Here is a 20,582-nt window from a genome sequence, read left to right on the forward strand (position 1 = left end):
TATGTTTTTTTCTGAGGGGGTGGGTGGGTGGGTCACCATTCAAGCCACTACAGAACATAAATATAAATAATTGTCTGTTATTGATCTTTTGAAAATAGCTATTGAGGCTTCTCTGGTATGAATGCTGATTTGGGAGCACTTTTAACAAGTTATAAATTATTGAAACGTCAGGAAGTTGCATATATATATATACATATATATATATGAGTGTATGTGCTAGATTTAGGCAACATATTATGAAAGACTCCTAAATTCTTTGAATTTCATACTCCTTCTCTGTCTCTCTTTATCTTGAAAGCGAAGAAAAGTAGAAGAGCAATATAAAAGTAAAGACAGAAAGATTAAAAAAGAGGTAAAGAAGAAAGGAAGAGGAAAGGAAAAGGATGGTGAATTCATGTTTTACTTAGCTTACTAGTTTGTTGATAACTCATTACTGTTCAATTGTAGATTTCATTTTCATATTCGATCATCCTATTCTCTAATTATATTGTTTCTGCATCTTTCATCTCATCCAAGTAGACTGTAAACATGGTGAATGGAGAAACTAGGTGGTAGTACTCTTCTTAGTATCTAAACCACTTTTAGGTGTGGTTAGGGTTGAAATCTGAGGGCTGAGGCAGTGAAGGATAGAGGGATCCCAGCTCTCTAGATGCCTAGAATAAAGGCTTCCCTAAAGTACTCTGACCTAAGTGTAATACACCCTCCATTCAATACAAGCCACCTTCTATTCTGTAACTGATGTGAAATTATTAGCTACAGGTTTTGCTAATCATCCCCACAAGGATTTCATGCTTATTCCAAATCATCAATTCAATCATTATAGAACTTATCTAGAAACTTTCTGATTTCCTTGACTGTGAAACCATTTATACTATTTAACAAATACTATTACTTATATAAATGTGATTATACTATTATATACTACATATTATCATTATTATTCTATATATAAATACTATTTACTGCTTAACAAACCAGTATAAATGGTTTCACAGTCAAGGTATGTTTTGCCTTTTAAAAACTTGTCGTGGCATTCATTGCACAAACATTTATAATACTGCTGCTGTGTGCCAGACTCTGCCCCAGGTACTGAAGCTTCAGAGAGGGATTAAGACATGCCTTGCACTCAGGAAACATGCAGGCACCTAAGTAGACAAGCATGGTGAGTATGATAATGTTAGGGAGAAGCAAAGAGTATAAAGTGCCCACAGACTTCTTTAGTGTTAAGGGATTTAGAAAAGACTCCCTGGAGTAGATAATGTCTAGGTTGAATTTTGGAGAATGAACATGACATATTCGGCTGGGCGCGGTGGCTCATGCCTGTAATCCCAGCACTTTGGGAGGCTGAGGCAGGTGGATCACGAGGTCAGGAGATCGAGACCATCCTGGCTAACATGGTGAAACAAAGTCTCTACTAAAAATACAAAAAATTAGCCAGGCATGGTGGCAGGTGACTGTAGTCCCAGCTACTTGGGAGGCTGAGGCAGGAGAATGGCGTGAACCCAGGAGGTGGAGCTGGCAGTGTGCCGAGATAGTGCCACTGCACTCCAGCCTGGGCGACAGAGCGAGACTCCGTCTCAAAAAAAAAAAAAAAAAGAAAAAGAAAATGACATATTCAAGTCAGAAGTGGGGAAGTGAGCCGAGGGCATTCTAGGCAGAGAGAATAGCAAGAACAAAGGCATGGAGGCAAAGCCCCAAGCTTGGAGTGTGCAGGAAATAAAGCATACCTTTTCTTTATTTGGGGCAGAGAATGAAAGAAAATGGTGAGGTGTAAAGTGGATAAGGTCCACTGAGGCCAGAGGAGGGAGTCTTTTTCTGCCTTATGGAAGACCTTTGACTCTATGCTAAAGACCGTGGGGAACCACTGAAAAGGGTGAGTGGGAGCAAACGTGACCAACTTTGCATTTTAGAAGAGTCTCTCTAACTAGATGGTTTTGAGGCTAACAAACCAGAGACAAGAAGGGAAACATGAAGCCATGTGTGGCTGGACCAAGCCGGTAGTGGCAGAGTTGGAGGGGAGAGAATTCACAATACACTTAGAAAGTAAAGTTGGCCCATCTGGGGATGGTGGTTCTACAGGGGTCTGAGGGAGAAAGGGGTCACACATGATCATCAAAGAGAAGCTAAGATGTAGGAGAGAGAATTACTGAGGGAGCAAATTCCAAAGTAGACTGGATGAGCTGACTCAGGACCAAGGCAAGGAGGTTTGCCTTGCACCAAGAGTCAGTACAGCCTTCAGGAGCTAGCCTTTCCCTTTCTCTGTCCTGGGCTTTGGTCTTTAGATATTAGGTGGGCTCTGACCTCTAACTCTGCTTGCCCACAGAAGCCCACAAATTCTCTACTCTTGGTAAACTCTGATCTGCTTTCTTATAACCACATTTTAGTTGTTCTGTTTGACTTCAGAGTACAGAAGGGGGAGATGTGAGTCAAAGTTTCTAGGGGGTTTTAATGTTAGTTCTCTATGATTCTGGCTTCTTGGAGGGAGACCTGGTCAGGGCAGGATGAGGAGGAATTGGCAGAAGATGGGGGAACCTCTTGCCTATAGTCTTGTAGCTATGTGGAGCCAGAGAGCAGGTAACAAATTATGTCACTGAGCACGTGCTGAGTGATGTATGGGAGAAGTAGGTCTAAATAGTCATCAGAGCAAACTGGGCCTGAAGTGGGTATGGGGACTTGTGGTGCTGGGTCTGGGGCTCAGAAAACTAGGGAAGACATGGACCCCTAGCCCAGAATAGGTATGTTGAAGTGGGCAAATATAGGATGCCATAGGCCGGTGGAAGGCTTTGCTATGTCCCTGCAATGTAATGCGTAGATAGCGAAGATGTTTTGCTAGGTCTAAGATAGCAAGAACACATAGGAAACTTTCACGAATTCGGAATTTTCCAGGGATAGTGTGAATGGCCAGTGAGTGTGTCATCACTGGAATTCTTCAGCACAGTCTGGATGATCTTCTACTGGGGGTTATTGAAGAGGGCTCCAGGCAACAAGGAGGATGGTGAGACTAGGTGACATTTGAGTCTTCACCACTCAGAGGTGCTCTTATTCTGTGATGCTCTAGGCATAGCTCAGGGTGTGGCCCTAGCAGGATCCCTGACTGCTGTTTGACTCAAATTAGGGTTGTCACATGAGACTGGCAATAGAGATGTGGACTTGGTTTTTTCTTATAATTTGGTAGAAGGAATTACATTGACTGAACTAAACTTAAGCTCCCTTTAATCGATATTAGTCTAAGAGGGAAATAAAATGTTTTAGGTTTGGAGTTACACATTCTGAAAGGGCTCTTTTAACATTTTCTAGAAATAAAGATTTTTCAGCCCTTCTGCTGTGGAGGAATTTCTTGAACAGCATTTACCAGAAGTGCAGATTGTAGTAAATGCCTATGTTTAAGGAATATTAGTGGGCTTTATTGCAATTTCATAAAGTTAATGAGTTCATTGTATAGGTAGTTAGAGGATTTAAGTTTTTCAAAATGTCTCTGAGCTCCTGGGAAATTGCTCAGCTAACTTATTGGTTGCATGAGGTTGCTTAAGCATTAATCTCCTTAGTCATTTGTGTGTGTGCATGTGTGTGTGAACAAGAAAATCTTTAGAGACTCACCTTATCCCATTAATTGAGATAGTCTGACAAATGTGAATAATACATTGAACTACTTGTAATGAGACTGGTAGTTAATCTAGAAGAATTATACATATGGTAATACTTAGAAAAAAGAAACAAACACAAAATATGCCCTTTGCTTAAAGGCAACAAAAGAAGCGTTAGCAAAGTGTACTGAAAACTGTAGAGTCCAATACTTATTTGGGAAATGAATGTTTTATAGCTAAGCTTAGGACACATTTTCCTTTTGGTTAACTTGGCACAGAACAGTCCTACCTCCAAGTGTTATTTAGTGTGTGTTCTTTCAAGATGTCACCATATTCAGCAAGATGAACATATTACAATTTTATATTGGCTTTAGTTCCTGTCCTCAAGATATAGTATTTTCTTACTAGACCGATGGGACTGCCATTGTTGTACTCAGAGTGTTTGGCAGAGATGTAGAGATCTGTGCTTTCCAGTGAATTTGCATAATAAAACTCTCATTGAATTATGGTTCAATGAAGGGGAAAGTACAAGCCTAATTTGATTTGACATTTATATACTGAACCTTTCTGAAATACGTCTCGTCTGTATTGCCAATTCCTATTTTCACACAAATGTGGTCTGACCTATTCCTGAGTACAGAAGTGGAGTTGGGACATACTTTTCTTTAAAATAAAACAAGAAAAAAAGAGTTTTTCCCCCATAAGCTTAACAATTGTGTACTTTTGAGCTACTCTTTACATCTTCTGTTTTGGATTGTCAGAACTAGTCGCTATTGTTAGATGTTAGGTTGGTTGTCATTGAAAAGAAAGGACTTTCATCTTTCTGTGGACCCACCTACAAACAGGAGTTCTGCTTCTTTAGGGTGTACAGGTGCAATTATGCAGCAATCTGAATGCTTACCCTCAGCTTACACATCATTTTTCTCCATATACTTGAGCTGGCTAGAATAAGCAAATATCTGTCATTCATCGAAGACCCTGTTATAATTTGAATGTGTCTCCTTGAAAATTCAGATGTCGAAACTTAATGGCCAGTGTGATAATACTAAGAGGTGGGGCCTTTAAGTGGTGATTAGGCCATGTGGGTTCCTTCTTTTAATGGGATTAAGCCCTTATAAAAGAGGCTTCACAGTGTTCAGCTCTTTCACTCTTCTACCTTCTACTGTGTGATGACACAGCATTCAACCCCTCAGGAGGATGCTGCAACGAGACATCTTGGAGGCAGAGAGCAGGGACTGAGAAACACTTGCGAAGTTAACAGTCTAGAGACAGAGGCTCAGTGAAAGACTATACTTTACCACCACATTGTTAAAGGGCTATTTACGGCAATTTCTTTTACCCATGACATCATGTCCAGCTATCAAAGAGGACAAAGGTAACTAAAAGGCAAAAAACACAAATAAGAGACAGAGTAAGAACCAGTCATGGCAGGGATGTTGGAATTATCAGACCAGGAGTTTAAGATAACTATAAATAATATGCTAAGAGCTTGGATGAATAAAGTAGACACCATGCAAGGACAGATGGGCAATGTGACCAGAGAGATGATCATCCTAAGAAAGAACAAAAAATAAATGCTAGAGATCAAAAACATCATAACAGAAATAAAGAATGTCTTTGATGGGCTTATTGGTAAACTGGACACAGCTGAGGAGAGAACTTCTAAGCTTAAGGATATCTCAGTAGAAACCCCCTACACTGAAAAAGAGAAAAAAGACTAAGAAAACAAACAAACAAACAAAACAGAACAGTACATCCAAGGACTATGGGACAACTACAAAAGGTGTAAATGCATGTAATGGGAACACCAGAAGGAGAACAGAGAGAGAAAGGAAGGGAAGAAATATTTGAAATAATAATGATGAGGAATTTCTCCAAATTGATGTAAGACACCAAACCAAAAATCCAGGAAGGTTAGAAAACACCAAGCAGGACAAATGAAAACAAAAATAAAAACAAATTGTATGTAAGCATATGATATTCAAACTTCAGAAAACCAAAGATTTAAAAAAAATCCTGAAAGAAGCTAAAGGGAAAAAAAATCTTACCTATAGAGGAGAAAACATAAGGATTATGTTTGACTTCTCAGAAACCATACAAACAAGAGAGTGAAGTGAAACGTTTAAAGTGTTGAGAGAAAGAAAACCACCAATCTAGAATTCTATACTCTCTAAAATTATCCTTCAAAGTGAAGAAGCAATAAAGACTTTCTCAGACAAAAATTGAGGAAGTTTGTTTTCAGTAAACTTACCTTGTCAGAAACGTTAAAAGAAATTTTTTAGAGAGAAGAAAAATAATATAGGTTAGAAACACAGATTTTCATAAAGAGCATTGAAGAAGGAATGAGTGAAGGTAAAATAAAAACTTACCTTATTATTTTCCCTAATTTAAGCGGTCTCACAGATCAAAGTAATAGCAACAATGTAATCAATTGTGTATTTTTATGTATACATCCTATATGTGTACATATGTTTATATATAAGCAAAATGAGTGAGAGCAATGATACAAAAATAGGAAGGAGGAATTAGAATTATTTTGTTATTATAAGGTACTACTACTACCTGTAAAGTGATATAGTGTTAAATAAAAGTAGATTTTGATTAGTAGTAAATGTATACTTCTTAACTCCTGTTTTTAGTGGTTGCTCTAAAAAAAAGAGATGTAATTGATACGCTAAGAAAGGAGAGAAAATGGACTCATATTAAATGCCCAATTAAAACTACATAAGACAGAAATAGAATGAAAAACAATAGGAACAAAGAATAAGAGCAACCAATAGGAAACAGTAAGAAATATGGGACATATTAATCCAACTATGTTAATAGTCATTTTGAGCATGGATGATCTAAATGTATCAATAAAAAGACACATTGTCAAAGTGAATAAAAAACAAGACAAGAATATTTTGTCTAAAAGAAATCCGTATAAATATAAAGACATATAAATATAAAGACACGTAAAGACATATAAAGATTACAAGCAAATGGTGGAGAAAAATATACCCTGCTAATACTAACCAGAAGAAAGCAGGAGTCGCTATATTAATTTCAGACAGAACAGAGCAGGCTTCAAAGCAAGGAAATTATCAGGAATAAAAAGAGGCATTACATGATGATAAACAGATCTATTCTCCAAGAAGATGTAGTAACAATACTTAATGTGTATGTGGCTAACAACAGAGTATCAAACTATATGAGACAAAAACAGATACAAAGTTCATATACAAAATTTAATCACTTGTCTATATACCAGCAATTAACAAGTGACATTTGAAATTAAAAACAATACTATTTACATGAGCACTGCCCCAAATGACATACATATATATTTTTTCTTCTGTTTACTTTGTTCCCTCCCAGTTATCACATTGCTGATTAGCATATCTTCAGTTGAAGTATTTTTTAAATTTTTTATTTATTTTTTGAGACGAAGTTTCACTCTTGTTGCCCAGGCTGGAGTGCAATGGCATGATCTCGGCTCACCACAACCTCTGCCTCCCGGGTTCAAGCAATTCTCCTGCCTTAGCCTCCTGAGTAGCTGGGATTACAGGCATGCGCCACCATGCCTGGCTAATTTTGTATTTTCAGTAGAGACAGGGTTTCTCCATGTTGGTCAGGCTGGTCTTGAACTCCCGACCTCAAGTGATCCGCCCTCCTTGGCCTCCCAAAGTGCTGGGATTACAGGTGTGAGCCACCTCGCCTGGCCTTAAGTTGTAATATTATGTGATATTAGAGACATTAGAGACCTGACATTTCTTTATCCATTCTCTCAATTTATCATTGAAAAGCATAACATGAAGCAAAATGTTAGGCTGACTTTGATGAGATTCCAAGGTCTGGCGTTGAACTTGGAGAATAACAATAATCAGAATTGGAAACAGATTTGAGAGGGAACATTAAAGCAGTGAGAATAATTCAGCCAGAAAAGAGCTAGTAAGGACACTCATAATAGTGTTATATACATGAAAAACGATTTCAGCTCTGCAAATGGTTCTGAGTAATCACAGCAATGCTAAAATTGTATTCAGTCTATGAAGTTTGCATGGGCTCCTTCCTCAGGTGTTTGACTCTCTTAAGAGAGCTTTCTATGCTTTCCATCATGCTAAATGAAACCTCACCTTTCAGCGTCATCCTTTGATCTTTTTTTCTGGAAAGGCAAGAGGCCTGGAGAACCTGGGACATAACACCAGGACAGCTCACAATTGAGTTCACAGCTATCGTTACATTTCTGTGTTCTCTTGGACTTCTGTCTGCCACATGACCATCTTGATGTCCTTTGTAAATTCTGCTGCTAGTGCCAGCTGCCTTAACTCCGTGTTTCCCAGAGCTGAATTCTGAAGAATGGAATTTGATTGGCTCAGGTTATCTTTTCCCACCAGGCCAAAGATCTAAGTCTGGCCTATGGATGGGTTGCCATATTGTTTTTAAAGAAACACATTCTTGATCAATTTCACTGTGGCTTAGTGTAAGGCTGAGGTCACATGGTACAAATGTAGTCATTTAGTCCTAAGAGGCTGTGGGTAGGCAGTTTTTCTCAGGAAGGGGATATGGATGGCAGGTCTTATAAATCTAACCGCAGCTCAGAGAGAACGTCTCAAGGTCACATAGTTATGAATGGTAGGAGGGGCTCTTGTTTCCACTCTAGGGCTTTTTCTTTTCTACCTCAATGCTTCTACTGAAATAAAATGGGATAAGTTAAAATTCTTCACTTGGTTTTCCAGGAGATGAAAAAGAGGCTTTCTTATACATAAACATTTTTCAGATGTTGCTTACTCCACAAAATGAAATGTCAGGGCAAAAATACTCAAAATGCTCATCTATACAGTATAATATGAAAAAATATGCTAGCTAAAAACTGTTTATTTGGGTCTCCTACTGATGTATTTTTTCCCCCTCTTCTCATACTGCAATGCAGTGGGGTTAGAATTCACAGAAGGAGACTTCTAAGTGAGCCAGGAGAAGAAGAAGATGACAGATTTTTTTTTTTTTAAATTTTGGATCTCTAAGGAGTTGATGTCAGAAAATTGGGTTGCCTTGATGATGGTTCATAAATCGGTCTGAGGAACATCATGTTCTAAGAATGGCATAGATGCCAGAGAAGGTAGCTGCCTTGCTTCTTAGACACACTATTCTTGCAGTTTGATAATCCTGCTGGCTGCTACAAGTTCTGTAGATGGAGAAATGGGAACCTGGTTCAACATAAAAGATGCATTGTGTGCATATGTGAGAGAAAAAGAGGGAGAGAGAGAGAGCACTGGAGGCCTGGATATTTTCTGGCCATTGGAAAATACACAGAATTTCTACCAGCCATATGTGAAAAACGATTTTATTTCTTCATTGTTATGCTTCAGATATGCCTCAGTTTTGTGTAAAACAAATATTCTTATGGATTACTATAATAATTGCTGTGATCTAGTGAATCCTGCTGTGATTTGGTAAATGTGTGCTATGTTCCAGATCTCTGACACCTTATAAAACAAACAAACAAAAAAACCAGATGAGTTGGTCCCTTCCCATTTTACAAATTAGAAAGCCGAGGTTCAAAATGTTAAACAACTTGTCTACCTATGCAACAAGTGACGGAAGAAGATGGCATTCAAATCTGTCTGTCTAAAGCTAAAACTTGTGTCTCTGAGCCAGGCCCTGCATCCTACCTGCATTCCCCTCTGGGTGTGGAATTTAAGGCTGGTCTTCTGGGTGGGCATGGAGGTTAAATGTTAATGTAGAAGAATTTGAGAGATTTTGAAAGACTACCCCTCCCTACCAAACACACATTGAAAATTATGTCCCTGTCACCTGCAAGTGAATAAATTATGTCATTAGAGACTTTAGTCCCTTGGGTTTATAAGTCTTCCCTTGTCTTCTAGAATGTCCCACAAAATCTCTCACACAAAAGCCCCTCTCCTTCCTCTGTGGTTCCGCAGTCCTTTGCATGGCCTTCTTTTACAATGCTGATCTCACAACCAGTAAGACTGGTATTTATGCATCTTTTCTCCTTTGAGTACAATTGTTTTTTGAGAGGAGGAACACTTGTCTTAATACTCCCATGTCTACATTTTGCTCTGCAGTTAGAAGAAACTACTGAAATGTATCACTTAATGGCTGTGTGTAAGAGGTGTTTGGTTCACAAAAGTAGAAAATACTTTTCTCCAGGGGACCCCGCTGGAAGGGGAAGCTGAGCAAGGCAGAGAGGGTATAGGAGGTGTCGTAGGGGCATTATGAATGAGTTTCTATGAGAAAATGTCCTCTCTAGTTATGTTTGTGTAAAATCTTATTCATTTTTCCATTCTGAACCTGATATTTCTGGTGTTTAAGTTAATCACTCTGTTAACTATATTGTTCTTTGAAGAGAATATTTATAAAGTAGCCCATTCATAATTATAAATTGAGCTTCCTGTAATCGAAAGGGGATAAAAATAAAAGGAAGAAAGGAGAGGGAAAAGAAGAAAGACAGGAGGGAAGGAAGAGGAGGTGGGGGAGGCAAGAAGGGAAAGTTTGGAGGAAAGGATGGAAGGAGGGCAGGAGGGAGGGAAGAAGGGGAAAAGGAAGGATTGACTTTAGATCTCAAAGATAAACCAGTTTAGCCTCCTTTTTCTTCAAAAGTGACTTGAAGACATTTTATATTTCCCCAGATCACATGAGGCCAGACACTCTTGGATTCTACTAGATTCTAGTTTCATGCTATCAGATACGAGAGGAAATGGCACAAATCAGTTCTTCTATATCACCACTTGACTGATTCTCTGATGACAGAAATGAGGGGACTAAGTTTTCAGGAAGATCCTGAACACTTGATGAGGAGGATGATGCTTTCGTTCTTTTCAAAAGAGCACTGAAGAGGATTTCTCCCCTACTAGGGCCATGGAGAGCAAATTTCTATATCCTAGGATATGGGCAGGGGAACAGAAGACAAGGTAGACACACTGGGTTTAATTTGACTCTGTTTTAAGAGTAAGGCATTGGGAGAGTGTTGTTTTAACAGACCACATGTCATTCTTAGGTATTCTCCTTGCCTTTTTCCAGGTACTAAATGTCAACCCTTTTTTCTCTAAGATATTTATGATGGTATCACCTCATGGCATTTGTTCAAGTCCTTGTTTTCAGGGTTATATATGACCTCAGGCTACTTCAGAGCCCTGGCAGTTTCTCAAGAATTGTCTCACTCTTCTTTCTAAAGATGGGATACTTGATTTGAAGGGGATTGTTATGGTGTGTGTGTGTTTGTATATTTTCAACATGGATGAATAGCCTTGGCAATGTCTTACATTATGTGCATTTTTGGCAATTGTGACTAGGGTTTATTTATATCTATGTATTTTTTTTTCTTTCCCAGGGATGACGCTGTGTTTCAGAGGAATTCATAAGCAGAATTGAATTTGTTTTAGTTAACTCCTTATTTGATTGGAATATTGTCGACTTAACAAAATAGTAGAAAGAGCATTGGGCTGAAGTGAGAAGATTTGAATTCTAGTCCAAAATCTGTTACTAACCAGCTCTTTGACCCTGAGAAGTCATTTGACTTGAATTATAGTCTTTTTCTTATATGGGAAAGGTGGAGTATACTCAGAGTCTCTCCTAAGTGCTAAGATTCTGTGATTCTATGAAATCAGACCATCAGAGAGGAATACTGCAGTGTTCTCCTGCATGGGTTGTAAATGGTAAGTAGAAGGTTAAAATGTGCTGTCAGATTACTTCTGTAGGATTATATTTATGCTTTACTTTAGAGATTTTTCAGGAATTTGATAGAGAGAAATTTTGGGACATGCCTCAATTTATTGGAGTCTGCTCCTGATTATCCACAGCTATTTGAAATAATTTGAGCTCAGAATTCTGTGGAAATGTTTTATGAGTAAATATATTTGATATAGGTATAGATATAGAAATTATAGATAAGTAGGAAGTTATTTGTATAAATCAGATTGTATGTGTGGAGGAAATGGGGGCAGGAGAGAAAGAAAGAGAAAGAGAAAACACTAGTTTATTTATGTAGATTAGGGGAAGAGCATTAACTTAAAAATATGTTGAGCGTAAGATGGGAGCTTAGATGGTATCTGATGAAAAGTTATCTGTAATGTAAGTTACAGCCATCTGTCAAGATACGAACTGAGAGAACAGAGCAGATGGATGGGAATGAATGTATAAGAAGACACAATTCTCACCCTAGGTGAAGGTCTAACAGGGTAGATTCATATTTCAGGCTTCTAGTAATCACTTTGTTAATAAACGAACCATACCATTTCCAAACTTAGAGCAAGACACCCAAGATAGAACAGCTTCACAGACAACTCTAATCTCATTTATCATCCTTGCCATTTGCTGATGAGTCTAGAAATTTGTCAGACCTATTTTGTTATGCCTGGGAAGGCATGGTTTCTTTATCAACATCAAAATAATAGGAAGCCAGTCAAGAGGTTGTTCACCTTTCTCCAGGAAAAGAGAGTTTGGGAGGGAGATATTTTATAAGCATTTTAAAGAGACAAGGGCCTCTGACTATGTTTCTTAATTTGTCCCCAAATAACCTTGTCTACTATACAATCAAGTTTAGAAAACTTATTTAAGGTTTTGAGATTCAAAGAGAATTAAAGGAATGAAAGCTATCTGTTTCTGAAATCATTAGATCTTTAAGCAAACAATTGTATTCAATGGAAGGTAGAGATGCTCTTTCATTTAGATGGAAAATCAAATTATAAAGATCATTCACTACAGGAAGGCAGCTGCAATAAACATCCAACTGATTCAACTGCAGAGATGTAGGGTAGGTAGAAATCCTTCGAAAATTTGATTTCACTTCTTTCTTATGTTCCATGTAGTCTTTAGCTGTAAACACAACTGGACACATTTTTGTAATTGTTACATATCCTATAATAGTATAGAACTGGGACATAAATTGACTATTTGGCTATCTTCTTGATAGAATTGATTTAATAAATTTATAAGAAGCTCCAAATATATAACTCAATTCATTAAGTGTTACTTAGGAGAGAGTGATAAGAACTGTAAAAATAAGGAGAAATTTGAATTTAACTTGAAGGTGACCTTTATGATATTCTAGGATGGATAGTAAATTTGCCAAAGTAACATCTGAAGAAATTCAAAGTTATAATAATAAAAGCTATTTTTTTAGTCCAGATACTGTGTCTAGTATGCCATAGACATAATATTGTTTAGAAGAAAAGGAATCTACATTATGAAGTAGAATTAGTAGGTGAAGCCTGCTTAAGGCAGAGAAGCTTAGATTTGAGATTCGAAGGAACATTGTAGGGTAGATCTCAACAGGGATTTGAGAAGTAGCATTCTGGATTGGGCTATAGAATAAGCCAAGACCTGCAGGCAAGAAAGAACAGAAGATAAAATATATGTGTGGGAGAAAAGGGGCCCTGGCTGTAACAGAGTGGGAAGAAGGTAGGTACCTAAGATGAGTACAATTTGTCAGCCTAAGGATTTGCTGTTAAGTCTAATTCAAAATGATTTTACAGTATAAAATACCATCTTGTTAGTGACAGACCTTTTGTTTCTCCTTTCTTTTGCTATTTAACTGTTCATCATGAAAAATATATGAGAGAAAACAAAGAATTATAAAACAAAAGATTCTGCTTGTGGATATGTCAATCAGTAGAGAAAGAACAGATGACAACTCTAAAAATTATCCAGAAATTCATAGTTATTATTTTGGGAGCTCTTTTCTTAACAATCAACACAAAGGCTGCTGTTTTTTTTATTTTCCTTCATAGCATTGCTCAGTAGACTAGCATTCCCTCAGTCAGGTTGTCTGACTTTTCAGTCACATATTTTGTTTTGTTCTGCCTTATTTCTACCAGGCATTAAGCACTGTATTCAGGATGTTTATGTTTTTTTTTTCTGGTTATATTTTTTCTTTCCAGAGAAAAAAGAAAGAAGGAGAGCAAAATGACTTAAAGACATTTTCAAGAAAAAAAGAGGAGAGAAGTCACTGAAATGGAAAAATAAACATATTATATAACTATTTATTGCACTATGCAATAAAAACATCTTCAGCAACAGCCACACAAGTGCGGGTAGAGGGTCTGCTTTGAAGAGAGAAAAAAGGCTGCTGCAGAAAAAACAAACCTCAATTCATAATTGGAGCTTTTGTTCTTTCTGGATTGTTTTGTGAAGAACATGCTGCCAAAAAACATTTTTCTTCTGTAACCGCTTCTTTTGAAACTCCATTCTTTTTTATTTCAAGGATGTTTATTATCTACTCATTTCTTTTTATTTATTTTTGAATCATATACCCCAATGTCTAGATGACTGGGACCACTAGGTTTCATATTTCCCAGATGAGATTAGTTGTACAGTTCATTTTGCAGGTTTATTCAGAGCATTTCAATGGCATTTCACCTACAGTTCACCTATATTGAGTCCTAAGAAATTGAAGGTGTTTCTTGATAGTTCTCCTGCTCCATCTTCTTCCAGGGGATTGATTTGGCTTCTTATGTTTTTGTATTTGGTTGCTCATTAGAGATAAGCCTGATTATTTGGCATTGTGTATTTTCTCTGTTTTAAAAAGGGAAAATACAACATGTTATTAATTATTATGATATAATAAAAAATGGAGAGAAGGAAAAAGATTTTCATCCTGACACTTTGAGTCATTTTAAGAATTTTCAGCTTGCTTTGTCATTTGTTTCTTTAAACTCAAGAGATTTGGTTTCTGAATTTGAATAATCTTCAATACACTGCATGCTGATTCACAGGTCTCCAGTAAAACAACTTGAAAAACTCAAAAAAGGATCGAGTGGCATCATCTGTGAATATAATGTCCCAATCATCTACAAATTGCCTTTTAAAAAGAAAAGCCATTTCAAATGTATATGAGCATCATGTAACAAAAATATTAATATTTTAGCTCTGTGCTCATTTCAACTTATAGAAAACACCTCATTCCCCCCCCCAAATTATTACTTAGTTCTAAAGCTAGATATATAAAATTTTAGGATGAAACCAGATTGAACAAATTCTGCATCCTTGAAAATACATGAACACTGCAAATAATGATACAAATTCTTAGCATTACAATTTGTTTCTAGCTACTTAATAATGACCTGGATTGAAAATTAAAATAGTAGTATAGATAATCAAAATAGGGACAATGTAGTGCTTTTTCTCTAATCAGTTTAACTGAATAATGCATAGATTCAGTATCCAGAAGGAATATCATCAACAAAATTACAAAGTTACCAGGCTTCAGGGCACAATAGGACTTAATTGTTTCTGGATATGAAGCTCCTGATAGCATCATAAGAACTTTTAACTAGAATTTTGCTTATTGCAGTGGAAATTTAACTGTACTGTATAGGTATATATCACTAAAAATAAGATGAAAAAAAGACGAGATGGCATATACAGAATCGATAGCCCTCAGACATTTGAATGCAGGATGCAGCTGCTTTCTTGCAGAATATGTGGTGGTATGATTTATGGTCCCCCATTCCTAATAGTTTCTTCTATTAGCCTGTTATTGATAGTTGAAATGCAGTACATTAATTAAGATGGTTTTGAACACAGGTAATAGAAAGTCCAACTCAAATTATTTTAAATGTATTGTCCCATATAGAAAGTGCAGCAGTACGGATAGCCATTAATGTTGGTTGATTCACAGGTTAACTGTGTGATCAAGACCACGTTAACACCATCATTCTGTTCTGCTTTTCTGAGTCCACTTGGTTTTTGGCCTGTCTCATCAATGATGTAAGATGACTTTTTGGGGGGATGCTGGCCTTTGGAACCCAGCCACCTGGGGAAAACCCAGGCTGCGTGGAGAGGCTACATGTAGGTGTTCAAACCAACAGCTTCAGTAAGTTTTAGTTGATAGCCAGCATCAACCACCAGAGTGAATAAGCTTTCTACTAAGTCCAACTCCCAGCCTTGGAGTCTCCCAGTTGAGGTCTCAGATATTGTAGAGAAGAGGCAAGGCATCCCTCCTATGCTCTGCTGAATTCTTGACTCACAGACACTCTAAGAGATGATAAATAATTGCTCTTTTCAGCCCGCTGAGTTTTGGGCTGATTTGTTATACAGCAATAGATAACTATTGCTATTGCTATATGTTTCATTGTTCATGTGCAGTGTGTAGGGGGGAGAGAGGAAAAGAGAATGAAACTATGATAAACCATTCTCCACTATGAAATTACAGTCTTTCTGTTCTGTCTGATTGAGTCAACTTGGTCTTATGCCCACTCCTAGACCAGTAGCAGTTATCAGAGAAAGCTGTGCATTGGTTGGTTTGGAATATTTGAGGTCTCTCTCTTGAAGCTGCGAATGGAGCCAGCTTCCTTGGCATCACAAGCTGTTTAGGGGTTAGTTACATACTTGAACCAAATATAGTTAAAAAGGAGAAAGAGGAAATGAAAGGTGAGTTAGGCGAAAATGCCCACTACATGCAAATAGAAAAGGGTTTACAAATGTTAAAGTACCCTGACGATTTTGCTGCATTACTATATGATAAAAATTTAATTACAGAAAACTTTTAGTATTGAAGCATAAATCAATATTTATAGAGTAGCTTTTGTATAGAGGCACTGTAGCAATTTCAAGGAGTTGATGATTAGTTAAACATGAATCTTGCTCTCCAAGAGCTATATACTAGAGTTGAAAAACAAAAAAGTGAAAGCAAAATACAAATTAAGTTACAGGGTAGTTTAGAAAAGAGAGGACTCACTTCAACTTAAGGTCAATCAGGGGAGGCTTTTTGGAGAAGCTGGCCTTTGTCCTGAGAGAATGAGTCAAATTTGGAATTATGGAGAATGATAGAAAAGGGATTCTAAGCAGAAGGAAGAGCACATGCAGAAACGTGGAAACGGGAAATGTATAAAGTCTGAGAATAGCACAGACAAATTAGAAAATACAAGTGGGGCCTTATATTGACTTCTTATAGTGCTTTCATCATCAAAGAAGCTTGTATGGTATTAGTGCAGGAAAGGGGAAAAAAAGATCTAATGAACAAATAACCAAACAAGCTAACCAATCAAAAACAAAAAAAAAACAAAAAACAGAAGCACTCATAGAAACATTCCCATATATATGTGGAAACTTGGTATATAATGGAGGACATTACATTTCAGAGGAGAAAAGGACTATTCAATCAAGAGTGCTGAAACAGTTATCCAAAGTGATGGAAAAGGATACAATTAGGTCTCCATCTCATCTCACACACAAAAACAAATTTCAGGTGGTTTAAAGACCTAAGTGTGAAACACAAACTGTGAAACTTTAGAAGAAATATTGAAGCATCTCTGGATGATACCAGAACAGGGATAGATTTTTTAAAGATGTCACAACAAACTAAAAGAAAACACTAATAAATTTGACTATTTGTATAAACTTCTAAATGAGAGTAGACGTCACAAGTAAACAGACACTGCAAAGCCAAAATGCAAGCCTCAGATGGGAGAATACATGTGCAGAGCATATAACTAAGAGTTGGTTTTCAGAATGTGAAAAGAAACTTTAAAGTCATTGTAGAAAACATAGTCAACTCGAGTGAAAAATAAGAAAATCCCCAAGACGGGCAGTTCACAGAGGAATAAACTGAAATAGCCAATTAACATTTGAAGAGCGACCTCACTAGTAAACATAAAAGCAAATTAAAGCAATGAGATTTATTTTATACTGATGGAATTGGAAAAAACCCAAACATCTGATGACTCTATGTGTAGGTGAAAACTACGGCAAAGTGGAACTCTTACACATTGTGGACAGGAGTGTAATGATCAAGAACTACTGAGGAATGCAATTTGGCAATTGTCAGTAAAGTTCAAGATGTACACTCCACATCACATCTGGAAATTCCCCTCATATATATAGGTGTCTCTGAGCCTGGCTCAGACATGTCCACTAGAAGAGTTGAACGAGGATGTTCATTGCAATGCCATTCATAATAGTATGATTGGCCTCCATATCTATCCATAAACAAATACATACATTATGATTTAGTTATATAATAAAATGCAATAGAGCAATTTAAATGACTGTACTAGATCTACATGTGTTAAATTGGACAAATCTCAAAAATATACTATTGATTGAAAATATCAGTTGTGTGCTCACAATATATTAAGTTTTAAACTTGATACCTCAGCAATATTATATATTGCATATATGTTAGGTAAGGCACCAAAACAAGCATGGAATTATACACACTAACCCCAAGATGATGGTTACCTCTAGGACTGAAGGAAGGAGAGAGCGGAGTATGTATTTGTGTGTGTATAAAAAGTCTGAAGGAATTGTGACAAAATATTTATACCTAGTAAATCTGAACATTGGGCACACAGATCTGTTATATTTTCCATATATATTTTTCTATGTTTGAAATACTTTAAAGTGAAAACACATTAAAAAGAATAAAAAGGGAAGTATTTAGATATGCCTTTCCCCTGTCCAAATGGCTATAGATGTACTGAGAAATTCTTTCGGTATAGAACATTTAAAACTACAAAAAAAAAAGTTCAAAATATATATAGTTGAGACTGTAAGAAATGAATGAACTCGAACAGAGATAGTTGGCAAAACCTAAAACTGGCATTTCCCCTGGGCTATCAGCCAGACTTTTATAACCTAGAGCTTGAGTTATAAAAGGCTACAAGGGTCATAGAAAGCCAATACTGGATCCACAAAAGGTGGAAACTTGTATAACAGACCCTTACACAAAGGTAGGTTTCCTCAGACAACATCACCACAAATGAATGGTCCAGATATAAACCTGCCCAATAGATGCAATGAGGATTTATGTCTGTCACAGAACTCTCTCAAGTTTAGAAAGAAGGGCAGGAGCCAGATCATTGAAGTCTGATGTGACAACTGACCAACAATATATTCATACAGATTTTCTGGGGGGAAAAAAAGCAAAAGGAAAAAGAAAAACAGATGGTATGGCACTCCCCTAGAGGGAAAGACTTGGGTAGAAGTAGGCATGAAGACACGTGAGTAGGGCAGGGTATGAGATTGAAAGGAGAGGAGAGAGCCAGGAAAGCATGCCACCTCCTTTCTCATGTTTCATATGGCCATCTCTCACTTGTACGGGCCAGGACAAGAGGCAGAAGTGATGTTCAACCGAAAGAGAATGAAAATAATGCCTTTGTTACTGATCCCCTTCTAATCCTGCCATAGATTCTTAACTTAATCTCTGCTTTTTTCTCCACCTTCCTAAAGCCTACACATCTTCGTAAAGTCTAGCTTAGACTCACTTTCCCCATGAAGACTTCTCAAACAACTCTTCTTTGAAAGCTATAGTCTGTATTAAAACTTGAGTATAGGTCATCTTATTTTACAACTTATCATTACTTGGTTTGTGTTTTTCTTGTTTTCCCATTTGGATTACAAGTTGTTTTGCAGTCATACATATCTTATGGAATACCTAACACAGTGTTAAACATTAACAAATTCTTATTAATTGCTAGAAGGATTATAGTTTCAATAATGAGTGGCAAATCTGAGGGGAGGATTTACCTGTAAAAAGTGTGGTCATTCCTGCTAGGAGTTCTACCCTTGAATCAGGCATTAACTGCTCTTTTTAACCTCAATTCTGTTAGTACTATAATGGTGAAATATTGAGTAATAATCATCTGTCATAAGTGTGTGTGTGTGTGCGCATACTAATTACTTGAAGCTTTTTTTTTTTCTTAAAGCTATATGTTGCTCACCACTATTTGATCTCAGGCTTAACAGTTGAGGTTTAGGGTTACAAAAATGGGATCTATCTATACCTGATTAAGCAGAATCAATATTAATTGAAGGATTTAAGGTGGCTTAAAGAATCGATGAGGAGTTTGGAGAATCCAAGCTGGACCTGAACCACAGAAGACAAAAACTTGAGATAGAATACTGTATGTTAGAATCTCTTTTGTTGACACCGCTGTTGCTGGGCTCTCTTCAGCTTACCTTTGGAGTCTATTGCCCATACTTGCTCCACAGCACTGGGCTCTCATCTCTGTGGAATTCACTGGAAGACAGGTCGTGCACCTTTGCGTCTCATTCTTAACACTAAAAATCTTCGGAGTATCTGTTTGGGTGGGCTGAAATCGCCCCTTTAAAGGGTTGGGGAGAGAGTGTTAGTTCCCCTTTGGCATCAGCAGTGGAAAGTGCCTGCCATCCATCTTGGAATTCTCTCTGAATATGAAGAGTGCTTAGATGCTGGGAAGACAAAATGAAATGAGGCTATTGCACAGGAAGAAAAAAGGGAAATTAAAATCAAATGCAAAATGACACTTCTAATCCATAAAATATATTAAGCATATTTATAGTGCCATGTTGTTTATAATATCAAATACATTGAAGGAAAGATATAGTTCTGTATGTTAATCAAGTTTGTAAATTTTGTAAAGGTACTGCTGATTTTGTCATTTCTGAGCAGCAATAATTTTGGCTGTAATTGTTACGTAGGATCCACACACAGTTCACCTTTCTATAAAGCAGCAGCGGGATGAGCTCTTTTAACTTGGGACATCTGAAGGCATCGAAAGGGTTAGTTGAGAATGACTTAACATGTCTTAAATGAGAATATATTAACATATACACATATGCATTACTCTTGAGAGAACTCAGGTATACAGATATAGCACTAACTGTGGTTTACAACAGCGTCTCTGTATAAAAATCTCAAATTTCTCCTTGTTAATAAACTCACGACTTGCTATTACCTGTGAGAGTTGCTTTTATTCTGCTTCTCATTGGTCTTTCCCCAGATTCCTCTGGTCTTCTTTTGTGTGTCCCACACTGCTGTTGACACACGCTTGTCCTGGGAAGTGACTTTGTTGTTTCGGGGCACTATTACTATTTCCAGAAATCTTGGAACCTGTTTCTACAAACTTCCTTGAAAAGTCTGTCTATGAGCAGTCTTTATTGTTGCTCCCCCAAATAGTGGAATAGTGGCTGTTTATTACACCTATTTTCTCTAGCTGATGCTGTTTATGTTCTGATTCTTTAATCAGCCTTCTGTGTCTGATGTGCTCTTACAGTGATGAAATAGGTTAAATTCCA

At 37.1% G+C, this 20,582-nt stretch overlaps 2 long non-coding RNA genes across 2 annotated transcripts in view; one reads left to right on the forward strand and one right to left on the reverse strand.

Annotated features, from left to right (window-relative positions):
• LNCBRM (lncRNA SMARCA2 (BRM) associated) overlaps positions 1–14,171 on the forward strand; it is a 47,089-nt gene extending 32,918 nt beyond the window's left edge. Inside the window, exons 5-6 of the long non-coding RNA NR_120607.1 lie at positions 10,918–11,242; positions 13,466–14,171. This is a non-coding gene — a long non-coding RNA (lncRNA SMARCA2 (BRM) associated). The remainder of the gene's footprint in view (positions 1–10,917; positions 11,243–13,465) is intronic.
• Positions 1–19,389, reverse strand: part of LOC124901182 (uncharacterized) — a 35,965-nt gene extending 16,576 nt beyond the window's left edge. Inside the window, exon 1 of the long non-coding RNA XR_007059133.1 lies at positions 19,310–19,389. This is a non-coding gene — a long non-coding RNA (uncharacterized LOC124901182). The remainder of the gene's footprint in view (positions 1–19,309) is intronic.
• Between the last annotated feature and the right edge of the window lie 1,193 nt (positions 19,390–20,582).

The sequence above is a fragment of the Homo sapiens genome, chromosome 5 (genome assembly GCF_000001405.40).
Source record: "Homo sapiens chromosome 5, GRCh38.p14 Primary Assembly".
NCBI lineage: Eukaryota > Metazoa > Chordata > Mammalia > Primates > Hominidae > Homo > Homo sapiens.